General features: G+C 39.8%; 1 long non-coding RNA gene across 2 annotated transcripts in view; it reads right to left on the reverse strand.

Moving 5' to 3' along the window:
• Window positions 1-989: 989 nt before the first annotated feature.
• Window positions 990-14,186, reverse strand: part of LOC105374126 (uncharacterized) — an 87,216-nt gene continuing 74,019 nt past the window's right edge. For both annotated transcript variants that reach the window (XR_924533.2, XR_924532.1), the window contains one exon: window positions 990-1,138. This is a non-coding gene — a long non-coding RNA (uncharacterized LOC105374126). The remainder of the gene's footprint in view (window positions 1,139-14,186) is intronic.

A 14,186-nucleotide genomic window follows, 5' to 3' on the forward strand; every position in this document is an offset into this window, starting at 1 on the left:
TGCATTTCTTATAGAAATCCTAAATAGCATCAAAGATCCTTAACTTAATAGGACAGATAAGCATAATTTTCAATTAGTATAATATCCCATAAACGATAGAAGTAGATGATATATAATTTAGAGTAAGATTTGAGGAAATTAAATATCTAATGTCAATCAGCACTCTGACTCCCCAATCCTCCTTTTCTCCTTTCTTCTCTTGGCAAAGGGAAGCAAATCTTTGGCTCTTTCCTTTGCCTGCTTCTCCAGCAACTATGTTATTTTTTACTTTGAAAGCTGAAGTTTTTGGAGGTTTCTTTCCAGTGGTAGCTATCTGCAGACTTGATCTCTCACTTGTCAGCCATAGGAGTAATTTCCAAAACACTACATCTTAGTCCATATGTGCTGCTGTAACAAAATACTACGCAGACTGGGTCATTTATAAATAATAGAAATTTATTTCCAACAGTTCTGGAGGCTGGGAAGTCGAAGATGAAGAACCAGCAGGTTCAGTGTCTGAAAGGCTTTTTCTCACAGATGGCACTGTCTAGGGGTCCTCACATGACAGAGGGGGTAAAAGGGATGACAGGCAGCTCTCTGAAGCCTCTTTTATAAGGGGATGAATCCCATCCATGAGGAAAGAGCCCTCATGATCTAACAACCTCCAAAGGGTCCCACCTCTGAATACTATCACCTTGGGGGTTAAGTTCCAACATACAAATTTTGGAGGGATGCATATACATTCAAACCATAGCAGGCTGATTGTTTTCTTCTTTTCAGAATTCATTTTTGGCTTTTCACACAACCTATAGATTTCAAAAGGCTAAAAAGTAATACATATTTGCCTCATGAAACCTCAAGATTCGCTTTCAAATGAGATTCAGCTCCAAACATGAATGTGAGAAGAGGACAGGTGTACCAACAACAGTTCCTTCTAGTACCTTATGCTTTTGCTCCATGTAGGTAAGCAACCCGCACAGGGAGCAAAAAGGGCCCCCAACTCACCTAAGCGAGTCACAGCATGATTCCTGAAGAAAAGGCCCAAGCCAAACTCTGAAGTAATCCGAGACAGAAAACTGGGCCTGGGTCTCGGCAGGGCTCAGGCAGACAGGTTTCAGGCGGAGTGGAAGAAGTGGATAAAATCATGGAAAAGGGCAGTCTGTGCAGAGAAAAAACATGGATCATGCAGTTAAATTCAAATACAGTGCAACAGTGCTGAGGCATGGGAATACAGCAATTGAACCCAAGAGCCTCGTTCACCATGTTAGGAGTGTATTAGTTGCTAATACAAAGTACCCATTGCTGTAACAAACTACCACTAAGGTGGCTTAAAAAAACAAATGTGTTCTCTCACAGTCTGGTGGCCAGAGTCTGGAATCACGATGTTCACAGGGTTAATTCCTCCTGGGGCATCTGAGGGAAGCCAGTTCAGGCCTCTCCTAGCAACTAGTGGCTGCCAGCAATCCTTGGCACTCCTTGGCTTGTGGACACACAACTCCAGTCTCTGCCTCCGTCTTCACACTGCCTCCTCTGTATGTCTTCTCCCCTTCTATTCTCTCATAAGGTCACTTGTCATGACATTTAGGACCTATCCTAATTCAGAACAATCTCATTCAAAGATCCTTAACTTAATTAAGACCCATTTTCCAAGTAAGGTCACATTGATAATTTCCAGGTGAACATACCTTTGGTAGGGGATTGGGTCATCATTCACCCCACCACAGAGACCTCAGGCATTGACCCACAGGCAATGGGGAGCTTCTCAGACTTTAAACAAGAAGAGATAATGTCAGATTTCTATCATAATGTCTCAGCAAGGGCTATGATAGTAAGAATGGAAAGAAAGAATTGGATTGAGAAATATTTAGGATTTATGCTCAGTAGGACTTCACTGCTTAGATGTGGGGGTTAAAGAAAAGGATGGCATATGATGCTTCTCACATTTCTAGCTTGGACAAGTTTGATGATCATGAAAAGACAACCAGAAGAGAGAAGTGCTTGGGAAGACATGATTCTTCATGTTGATTTTGATGGTCTTTTGAGTACCCTAGTGGAAAGATCCAATAGGATGAGCTAGAGATAATAATTTGGAGGTCATCCCTGAATAAGTGAAGATAAAACCTTATGAGTTTTCAATAGTAATCGCTGAGGATTTAAAGTACAAAATTTAGCCCAAGAAAGAGCTGGAAAATGTAAGCAAAGTTCCCAAAGAGACAGAGTTCAAGTAAGAGAGGCCTGGAATACCTGTCAGGAAACCAGACCAGATCACAGACCTATGAATGGACCGGAATAGTGGGCATTAGAGAATGGCCACAGCCCTGTTAGTTTGGAGTGGCTAGGCTGCTCCCAACACACCAGACATGGGGAGTATAGGCAGCACAACAGCATATATGCTCAATTTGCTCACAGAGCAAAGTGCAGGCCCGGACTGAGCCAATGCTAAGGGTTAGAAAGTCTCTATGCTTAGAGTTTCAGCATTATTGGCATAAAACTACACACTAAGATACGGCATTGCTCATCATGCTATCTATACCAACTGGTGGCTGGGGATGTGTCTCATGGTTACTAGCTTAGAAAATATTCTCTTTCATTTATAAAATACTTTATGAGCACTCATGATGTAGAAGTTACAGGGCTAGACATTGGAATAGAACAGTGATTAAAAGACACACAGTACCAGCACTTTCATTAGAAAAGATAGACATCAATTAAGTACAGGCATACCTAAAGATTTTGTGGGTGGGTTCAGCTCTAGGCCATTACAATAAAGTGAATATCATAATAAAACAAGTCGCACCAAATTTTTGGTTTCCCAGTGCATATAAAAATTATGTTTATGCTATATTGTAGTCTACTAAGTGTGCAATAGCATTATGTCCCAAAAAAAAGTATACACCTTAATTTACAATACTTTATTGCTAAAAAATGCTAACAATCATCCAAGCCTTTGGCAAGCTATAATCTTTTTGACAGTGAAGGACCTTGACTCAAAGTTGATGGCTGCTGACTGCTCGGGGTGGTGGCTGCTGACAGTTAGGGTGGCTATGGTGATTTCTTAAAATAAGACAAGAATGAAGTTTGACTTTTCCTTTCACACAAAAGATTATCTGTAGCATGCAATGCTCTTTGATAGCATTTTATCCAAAGTAGAACTGCTTTATAAATTGGAGTCAATGCTCTCAAACTCTCCTGCTGCTGTATCAACTAAGTTTATGTAATGTTCTAAGTCCTTTGTTGTCAGTTCAACAATTTTTACAGCATCTTCAACAGGAGTAGATTCTATCTCAAGAAACCACTTTCTTTGCTCACCCATTAGAAGCAACATCACATATGCTTAAGTTTGATCATGAGATTGCAGCAATTCAGTCACATCTTCAGGCCATACTTCTAATTTTACCTCTTGCTGTTTCCATCACATCTGCAGTTACTTCCTCCAGTAAAGTTTTGAACCCTTAAAGTCATCTATAAGGGTTGGAATCAACTTCTTCCAAACTCTAGTTAATGTAAATATTTTGACCTTCTCCCAAGAATCACAAAAGTTCTTAATGGAACCTGGAATGGTTAATCCTTTCCAGAAGTTTTCCAATTTGCTTTGCCCAGATTTATCAGAGGAATAACTATCTGTGACAGCTATTGTCTTACTAAATGTATTTCTTAAATAATAAGACTTGAAAGTTGAAATTACTCCTGATCATGAGGTGCAGAATGGATGTTGTGTTAGCAGGCAGGAAAACAGCATGAATCTCCTTGTACATCTCCACTGGAGCTCTTAGGTGAGCAGGTACATTTTGGATGAGCAGTAATATTTTGAAAGGAAATTTTTTTCTGAGCAGTAGGTCTCAACAGTGGCTTAAAATATTCAGTAAACCATGCTGTAAACAGATATGCTGTCATCCAGGCTTTGTTGTTCCATTTATAGAGAACAGGCATAGTAGATTTAGTATGATTAAAGGTTCCAGGATTTTTGTAATGGTCAGTGAGCATTAGCTTCAACTTAAAGTTACCAGCTGCATGAGCCCCTAACAAGAAAGTCAGCCTGTTTTTTGAAGCTTTGAAGCCAGGCGTTGACTTCTCTCTAGCTATGAAAATTCTTGATGGCATTTTCTTCAAATATAAGGCTGTTTCATCTACATTGAAAATCTATTGTTTAGTATAGCCACTATCATCAGTTATCTTAGCAAGATTTTCTGAATTACTTGCTGCAGCTTCTATATTGGCACTTGCTGCTTCACCTTGCGCTTTTATGTTATGGGATGGCTTCTTTCCTTAAACTTCATGAACTAACTTCTGCCGGCTTCCAACTTTATTTTTGCAGCTTCCCCAACTCTCTCCTCCTTCATAAGAGTAAAGAGAGTTAAGGCCTTGTTTTGAATTAGGCTTTGGCTTAAGGGAATGTTTGGATGGTTTGATCTTCTATCCGGACCACTCAAACTTTCTTCATATCAGCAGTAACGATGTTTTGCTTTCTTATCATTATGTGTTCACTGGAGTAGGACATTTAATTTCCTTCAAGAACTTTTCCTTTGCATTCATAGCTTGACTAACTGTCTGACACAAGAGGCCTAGCTTTGGTCTATCTTGGCTTTCCACATGCCTTCTTCACTAAACTTAGTCATTTCTAGCTTTTGATTTAAGGTGAAATAAGTGTGACTCTTCCTCTTACTTGAACACTTAGAGGTCATGGTAGTGTTATTAACTGGCCTAATTTCAATGTTTTTGTGTCTCAGGGAGTACGTAGGCTCGATGAGAGAGAGAGATAGGAGACCAGCTGGTCAGTGGAGCAGTAAGAACACCTACCACATTTATCCATTAAGTTCACTGTCTCTTAAGAGCATGGCTCATGGTGCCCCAAAATAATTACAATAATGACATCAATGATCACTGATCATAGATCACCATAAAAAAATACAGTAATAATGAAAAGCTTGAAATACTTTAAGAATTACCAAAATGTGGTAAGGAGACATGAAATAAGCACATGCTGATAGAAAAATGGTGCCTTGCTTGATGTAGGATTGCCACAAACCTTCACTTTGTAAAAAGCACAGTATCTGCAAAGTTTAATAAAACAAGTTTGCTTATAATTATTCAATTAATTTTTTTTTTCTTTTTGAGACAGAGTCTCACTCTGTCACCCAGGCTGGAGTTCAGTGGCACAATCTTGGCTCACTGCAACCTCTGCCTTCCAGATTCAATTTTTGATAATATCTCTTTTTAAATTTTGGAGCTTACAAGAGAGTTCTTGGATGAGGATATAAATTTGGGATTCATCAAGTTTTACAGGGTGAAGGTTTTGGGAGTAAATCCTAAGTAGAATATAAAATAAAAAAATAAGAGGGACTAGGACAAGGTTTAACAAATCCTAACCTTTAAAAATCTGGTACAGAAGGATAAATTAGAGAGCAAGAAGAACCGGTCAGAGAAGTAGAAGAAAACTTTAAAAACTTATTTAAACTAAATAGATTTCTCTATACTTATATCCTGATTATTCCTTGCTAACAAAGCTCAACTTGGTTTGAGGTAGCCATGTTTCCAGTCCCACGTGAGATAGTCACTTTCTCAATCCCCACTGTATGTAGAAGTGGCCAGGTGACATAGTTCTGGCCAATGACAGTGACACTTCCTACAGATTTTCTGAAAAGCTTTTTGTATCCTGGTTTTTAAAAACAGAGAAGGGGATGTCAGATGCAGCTGCCGCTATTCTTTGTCCTCCCCTTTTCTTCCTGCCTTGAAGACAAACCAGCTCTCTGGATTTTCAACAACTATCTTGCTACCATGAAGCAACATGCATGAAGATAAAAGTGAACTCTCTAAAGATAGGAAGGTTGGAATATGTAACCAACGCAATTATTTAGCAACACAACCAATGCCAACAGCTACCCACATCCAGATTTCTTGTTAGATGAGAAAACTAAAGTTACTTTTGTTTTAGCCATTGTAATGAGATTTTGCATACTTGCAATTGAACATATTTCTGATTAGTAAAACTTCCATCTTAAACATAAATTTAAAATAGTTTCTTCACCATATATTTAATTGTACTTGATTTGGGGAAAGTAGAAAAAAAAAAGCTATGTAATTCTGAAATTCTTTTAAAATATATTGCCCAGTTCATAAGAAAGAATAAAAGAATAGCAGAAAACAACAAACACAACTCTCTTGTTTTCATTTGATTTTTTTTTTTTTTTGAGATGGAGACCTGCTTTGTCACCTAGGCTGGAGTATAGTGGCGCGATCTTGGCTCACTGCAAGCTCCGCCTCCCGGGTTCACACCACTTTCCTGCCTCAGCCCCCCAAGTAGCTGGGACTACAGGCGCCCACCACCACACCTGGCTAATTTTTTTTTTTTTGTATTTTTAGTAGAGATGGGGTTTCACCGAGTTAGCCAGGATGGTCTCGATCTCCTAACCTCACGATCCGCCTGCCTTGGCCTCCCCAAAGTGCTGAATTTTTTGATAATAAAAAGGAAAACTAAATTTTTTGGTTTTGCTATCTAATTCATTGTGTTCAAAACCTAGCCTCTTTTCAGTAATCAGATGTACACTGTCAGTAGGACTGAATCTAAAGAACAGTTTTCTATGTTTTGTGGCAATTGGAATAAATGAGGAGGCTGCATCTGAAAAAGAGCAGTGAGTCCTCCTTACCTATAGCTGGTAGAAATTGCGCATGCCTGACCAGAGGCATGAGATCCTGGTAGAAACATAGTAGAAGCCTACGATTTTCTGACCAGACTCAACAGACCAAAGACACTTAAAGTCAAAGACTTTTACATCTGTGATACTTTTGTCAAAACTACTCTCTGCCCTGTCCCCTAAAACTTTCCTTAGGAATGTTGCAATCATTACTGTTTAAGACACAGACTCTTATCTGACCCTTTTCTTTAACCAGAATTTTTAAATAAGTTGTTATGATTTCTCAGGCACGTGATGACTTTGAAGATAAAATGTCAAATAAGACTATGAGTCATAATTTAAAAACCAATGATAGAGAAACAAATCAAATAAAAATAAACTCTAAAGTTAAATAGAACATAAAACCTGTGCCCAAGGACCTTCTTGGGGAAAACAGACAAAAGATATCCATAATTATAGTTTAATGTAACAAAAGATGTGACAGAAATATGTGTGCACTAGAACAGTGGTTCTCAAACATTGCCTCCCATTAGAATCCCCTAGGAAATTTTCTAAACTCTTAATTCCCAAGTTACACTAAGAGGCTGTCTAAGGATGCAACCCAAGCATTAGCATTATTTAATATTCCCCAGATGATTCCAATATGCACCCAAGTTTCAGAATCACTGCACTAGTGGCAATCCCAGCAAAGTCAGGATCAAGATTAAGAGGTATTCTATCAATGTTATTATATAAAATTAATATGAAATTTGTGTCTAATGTAAAAAGGGAGAAATATTACAAATCATTTAGAACTGATATCACTGCCAACTATAAAAGTAAACAGAACTGATAAACTATTAAAACTAATATGACTGCTTACCTAAGTAGCCAAATGCCAAGTATTGGAGAAATTGGAACCCTCCTACACTGCTAGTGGATATGTAACATGGTACAGCTGCTTTGGAAAACAGTTTGACAGTTCCTCTGGTAGTTAAACATAGAGCTACCATATGATCCAGCAATTCCACTCCTAGATATATACCCAAAAGAAAACATATGTCTGCACAAAAATTTGTCCTTGAGTATTCACAGCAGCATTATTCATAATAGCCAAAAAGTGGAAATGACCCAAATGTGCATCAACTGATGAATGGATAAACAAAATGTGGTATAGACATACAATGGAGTATTTTTTTTTCTTTTTTTTTTAATTATACTTTAAGTTTTAGGGTACATGTGCACATTGTGCAGGTTAGTTACATATGTATACATGTGCCATGCTGGTGCGCTGCACCCACTAACTCGTCATCTAGCATTAGGTATATCTCCCAGTGCTATCCCTCCCCCTCCCCCCACCCCACCACAGTCCCCAGAGTGTGATATTCCCCTTCCTGTGTCCATGTGATCTCATTGTTCAATTCCCACCTATGAGTGAGAATATGCGGTGTTTGGTTTTTTGTTCTTGCGATAGTTTACTGAGAATGATGATTTCCAATTTCATCCATGTCCCTACAAAGGACATGAACTCATCATTTTTTATGGCTGCATAGTATTCCATGGTGTATATGTGCCACATTTTCTTAATCCAGTCTATCATTGTTGGACATTTGGGTTGGTTCCAAGTCTTTGCTATTGTGAATAATGCTGCAATAAACATACGTGTGCATGTGTCTTTATAGCAGCATGATTTATAGTCATTTGGGTATATACCCAGTAATGGGATGGCTGGGTCAAATGGTATTTCTAATTCTAGATCCCTGAGGAATCGCCACACTGACTTCCACAATGGTTGAACTAGTTTACAGTCCCACCAACAGTGTAAAAGTGTTCCTATTTCTCCACATCCTCTCCAGCACCTGTTCTTTCCTGACTTTTTAATGATTGCCATTCTAACTGGTGTGAGATGCTATCTCATTGTGGTTTTGATTTGCATTTCTCTGATGGCCAGTGATGATGAGCATTTTTTCATGTGTTTTTTGGCTGCATAAATGTCTAATTTTGAGAAGTATCTGTTCATGTCCTTCGCCCACTTTTTGATGGGGTTGTTTTTTTCTTGTAAATTTGTTTGAGTTCATTGTAGATTCTGGATATTAGCCCTTTGTCAGATGAGTAGGTTGCGAAAATTTTCTCCCATTTTGTAGGTTGCCTGTTCACTCTGATGGTAGTTTCTTTTGCTGTGCAGAAGCTCTTTAGTTTAATTAGATCCCATTTGTCAATTTTGGCTTTTGTTGCCATTGCTTTTGGTGTTTTAGACATGAAGTCCTTGCCCATGCCTATGTCCTGAATGGTCATGCCTAGGTTTTCTTCTAGGGTTTTTATGGTTTTAGGTCTAACGTTTAAATCTTTAATCCATCTTGAATTGATTTTTGTCTAAGGTGTAAGGAAGGGATCCAGTTTCAGCTTCCTACATATGGCTAGCCAGTTTTCCCAGCACCATTTATTAAATAGGGAATCCTTTCCCCATTGCTGGTTTTTCTCAGGTTTGTCAAAGATCAGATAGTTGTAGGTAGGCGGCGTTATTTCTGAGGGCTCTGTTCTGTTCCATTGATCTATATCTCTGTTTTGGTACCAGTACCATGCTGTTTTGGTTACTGTAGCCTTGTAGTATAGTCTGAAGTCAGGTAGTGTGATGCCTCCAGCTTTGTTCTTTTGGCTTAGGATTGACGTGGCAATGCGGGCTCTTTTTTGGTTCCATATGAACTTTAAAGTAGTTTTTTCCAATTCTGTGAAGAAAGTCATTGGTAGCTTGATGGGGATGGCACTGAATCTGTAAATTACCTTGGGCAGTATGGCCATTTTCACGATATTGATTCTTCCTACCCATGAGCATGAAATGTTCTTCCATTTGTTTGTATCCTCTTTTATTTCCTTGAGCAGTGGTTTGTAGTTCTCCTTGAAGAGGTCCTTCACATCCCTTGTAAGTTGGATTCCTAGGTATTTTATTCTCTTTGAAGCAATTGTGAATGGGAGTTCACTCATGATTTGGCTCTCTGTCTGTTGTTGGTGTATAAGAATGCTTGTGATTTTTGTATATTGATTTTGTATCCTGAGACTTTGCTGAAGTTGCTTATCAGCTTAAGGAGATTTTGGGCTGAGACAATGGGGTTTTCTAGATATACAATCATGTCGTCTGCAAACAGGGACAATTTGACTTCCTCTTTTCCTAATTGGATACCCTTTATTTCCTTCTCTTGCCTAATTGCCCTGGCCAGAACTTCCAACACTATGTTGAATAGGAGTGGTGAGAGAGGGCATCCCTGTCTTCTGCCAGTTTTCAAAGGGAATGCTTCCAGTTTTTGCCCATTCAGTATGATATTGGCTGTGGGTCTGTCATAGATAGCTCTTATTATTTTGAAATACGTCCCATCAATACCTAATTTCTTGAGAGTTTTTAGCATGAAGGGTTGTTGAATTTTGTCAAAGGCTTTTTCTGCATCTATTGAGATAATCATGTGGTTTTTGTCTTTGGTTCTGTTTATATGCTGGATTACATTTATTGATTTGCCTATATTGAACCAGCCTTGCATCCCAGGGATGAAGCCCACTTGATCATGGTGGATAAGCTTTTTGATGTGCTGCTGGATTCGGTTTGCCAGTATTTTATTGAGGATTTTTGCATCAATGTTCATCAAGGATATTGGTCTAAAATTCTCTTTTTTGGTTGTGTCTCTGCCCGGCTTTGGTATCAGAATGATGCTGGCCTCATAAAATGAGTTAGGGAGGATTCCCTCTTTTTCTATTGATTGGAATAGTTTCAGAAGGAATGGTACCAGTTCTTCCTTGTACCTCTGGTAGAATTCGGCTGTGAATCCATCTGGTCCTGGACTCTTTTTGGTTGGTAAACTATTGATTATTGCCACAATTTCAGCTCCTGTTATTGGTCTATTCAGAGATTCAACTTCTTCCTGGTTTAGTCTTGGGAGAGTGTATGTGTCGAGGAATGTATCCATTTCTTCTAGATTTTCTAGTTTATTTGCGTAGAGGTGTTTGTAGTATTCTCTGATGGTAGTTTGTATTTCTGTGGGATCGGTGGTGATATCCCCTTTATCATTTTTTATTGTGTCTATTTGATTCTTCTCTCTTTTTTTCTTTATTAGTCTTGCTAGCGGTCTATCAATTTTGTTGATCCTTTCAAAAAACCAGCTGCTGGATTCATTGATTTTTTGAAGGGTTTTTTGTGTCTCTATTTCCTTCAGTTCTGCTCTGATTTTAGTTATTTCTTGCCTTCTGCTAGCTTTTGAATGTGTTTGCTCTTGCTTTTCTAGTTCTTTTAATTGTGATGTTAGGGTGTCAATTTTGGATCTTTCCTGCTTTCTCTTGTGGGCATTTAGTGCTATAAATTTCCCTCTACACACTGCTTTGAATGCGTCCCAGAGATTCTGGTATGTTGTGTCTTTGTTCTCGTTGGTTTCAAAGAACATCTTTATTTCTGCCTTCATTTCGTTATGTACCCAGTAGTCATTCAGGAGCAGGTTGTTCAGTTTCCATGTAGTTGAGCGGCTTTGAGTGAGATTCTTAATCCTGAGTTCTAGTTTGATTGCACTGTGGTCTGAGAGATAGTTTGTTATAATTTCTGTTCTTTTACATTTGCTGAGGAGAGCTTTACTTCCAACTATGTGGTCAATTTTGGAATAGGTGTGGTGTGGTGCTGAAAAAAATGTATATTCTGTTGATTTGGGGTGGAGAGTTCTGTAGATGTCTGTTAGGTCCGCTTGGTGCAGAGCTGAGTTCAATTCCTGGGTATCCTTGTTGACTTTCTGTCTCGTTGATCTGTCTAATGTTGACAGTGGGGTGTTAAAGTCTCCCATTATTAATGCGTGGGAGTCTAAGTCTCTTTGTAGGTCACTCAGGACTTGCTTTATGAATCTGGGTGCTCCTGTATTGGGTGCATATATATTTAGGATAGTTAGCTCTTTTTGTTGAATTGATCCCTTTACCATTATGTAATGGCCTTCTTTGTCTGTTTTGATCTTTGTTGGTTTAAAGACTGTTTTATCAGAGACTAGGATTGCAACCCCTGCCTTTTTTTGTTTTCCATTTGCTTGGTAGATCTTCCTCCATCCTTTTATTTTGAGCCTATGTGTGTCTCTGCACGTGAGATGGGTTTCCTGAATACAGCACACTGATGGGTCTTGACTCTTTATCCAACTTGCCAGTCTGTGTCTTTTAATTGGAGAATTTAGTCCATTTACATTTAAAGTTAATATTGTTATGTGTGAATTTGATCCTGGCATTATGATGTTAGCTGGTGATTTTGCTCGTTAGTTGATGCAGTTTCTTCCTAGTCTCGATGGTCTTTACATTTTGGCATGATTTTGCAGCGGCTGGTACTGGTTGTTCCTTTCCATGTTTAGCGCTTCCTTCAGGAGCTCTTTTAGGGCAGGCCTGGTGGTGACAAAATCTCTCAGCATTTGCTTGTCTGTAAAGTATTTTATTTCTCCTTCACTTATGAAGCTTAGTTTGGCTGGATATGAAATTCTGGGTTGAAAATTCTTTTCTTTAAGAATGTTGAATATTGGCCCCCACTCTCTTCTGGCTTGTAGGGTTTCTGCCGAGAGATCCGCTGTTAGTCTGATGGGCTTCCCTTTGAGGGTAACCCGACCTTTCTCTCTGGCTGCCCTTAACATTTTTTCCTTCATTTCAACTTTGGTGAATCTGACAATTATGTGTCTTGGAGTTGCTCTTCTCGAGGAGTATCTTTGTGGCGTTCTCTGTATTTCCTGAATCTGAACGTTGGCCTGCCTTGCTAGATTGGGGAAGTTCTCCTGGATAATATCCTGCAGAGTGTTTTCCAACTTGGTTCCATTCTCCCCATCACTTTCAGGTACACCAATCAGACGTAGATTTGGTCTTTTCACATAGTCCCATATTTCTTGGAGGCTTTGCTCATTTCTTTTTATTCGTTTTTCTCTAAACTTCCCTTCTCGCTTCATTTCATTCATTTCATCTTCCATTGCTGATACCCTTTCTTCCAGTTGATCACATCGGCTCCTGAGGCTTCTGCATTCTTCACGTAGTTCTCGAGCCTTGGTTTTCAGCTCCATCAGCTCCTTTAAGCACTTCTCTGTATTGGTTATTCTAGTTATACATTCTTCTAAATTTTTTTCAAAGTTTTCAACTTCTTTGCCTTTGGTTTGAATGTCCTCCCGTAGCTCAGAGTAATTCGATCGTCTGAAGCCTTCTTCTCTCAGCTCGTCAAAGTCATTCTCCATCCAGCTTTGTTCCGTTGCTGGTGAGGAACTGCGTTCCTTTGGAGGAGGAGAGACGCTCTGCGTTTTAGAGTTTCCAGTTTTTCTGTTCTGTTTTTTCCCCATCTTTGTGGTTTTATCTACTTTTGGTCTTTGATGATAGTGATGTACAGATGGGTCTTCGGTGTGGATGTCCTTTCTGTTTGTTAGTTTTCCTTCTAACAGACAGGACCCTCAGCTGCAGGTCTGTTGGAATACCCTGCCGTGTGACGTGTCAGTGTGCTCCTGCTGGGGGGTGCCTCCCAGTTAGGCTGCTCGGGGGTCAGGGGTCAGGGACCCACTTGAGGAGGCAGTCTGCCGGTTCTCAGATCTCCAGCTGCGTGCTGGGAGAACCACTGCTCTCTTCAAAGCTGTCAGACAGGGACATTTAAGTCTGCAGAGGTTACTGCTGTCTTTTTGTTTGTCTGTGCCCTGCCCCCAGAGGTGGAGCCTACAGTGGCAGGCAGGCCTCCTTGAGCTGTGGTGGACTCCACCCAGTTCAAGCTTCCCGGCTGCTTTTTTTACCTAAGCAAGCTTGGGCAATGGCGGGCGCCCCTGCCCCAGCCTCGCTGCCACCTTGCAGTTTGATCTCAGACTGCTGTGCTAGCAATCAGCGAGACTCCATGGGCGTAGGACCCTCCGAGCCAGGTGTGGGATATAGTCTCGTGGTGCGCCGTTTTTTAAGCCGGTCTGAAAAGCGCAATATTCGGGTGGGAGTGACCCGATTTTCCAGGTGCGTCCGTCACCCCTTTCTTTGACTCGGAAAGGGAACTCCCTGACCCCTTTCGCTTCCCAGGTGAGGCAATGCCTCGCCCTGCTTCGGCTCGCGCACAGTGCGTGCACCCACTGGCCTGCGCCCACTGTCTGGTACTCCCTAGTGAGATGAACCCGGTACCTCAGATGGAAATGCGGAAATCACCCGTCTTCTGCGTTGCTCACGCTGGGAGCTGTAGACTGGAGCTGTTCCTATTCAGCCATCTTGGCTCCTCCACAATGGAGTATTATTAAGTAGTAAAAAGAAGCGAAGCACTCATACATGCTGCAGCATCAATGAACCTTGAAAACATTACACTGAGTGAAAGAAGCCAGTAACAAAGGAAAACATAATTTATGATTCTATTTATATAAAACATCCAGAACAGGCAAATCTATAGAGTCAGAAAGTAGATTATTGATTTGGTTTTCATATATTTATTGTTAGCGTGGAAATATGATAGATTTGTCTATGTTTTATATCCTATGACCTTCCTAAATTTACGCTTACTAGATTTAGGATTTTGGGGGTAGATTTCTTGTAATTTTCAATGTAGATAATCATGTGATCTACAAATAGAGTTTCATTTTTTCTTTTCCTGTTCTTAGTTTA

The sequence above is a fragment of the Homo sapiens genome, chromosome 3, assembly GCF_000001405.40.
Source record: "Homo sapiens chromosome 3, GRCh38.p14 Primary Assembly".
Classification (NCBI taxonomy): domain Eukaryota; kingdom Metazoa; phylum Chordata; class Mammalia; order Primates; family Hominidae; genus Homo; species Homo sapiens.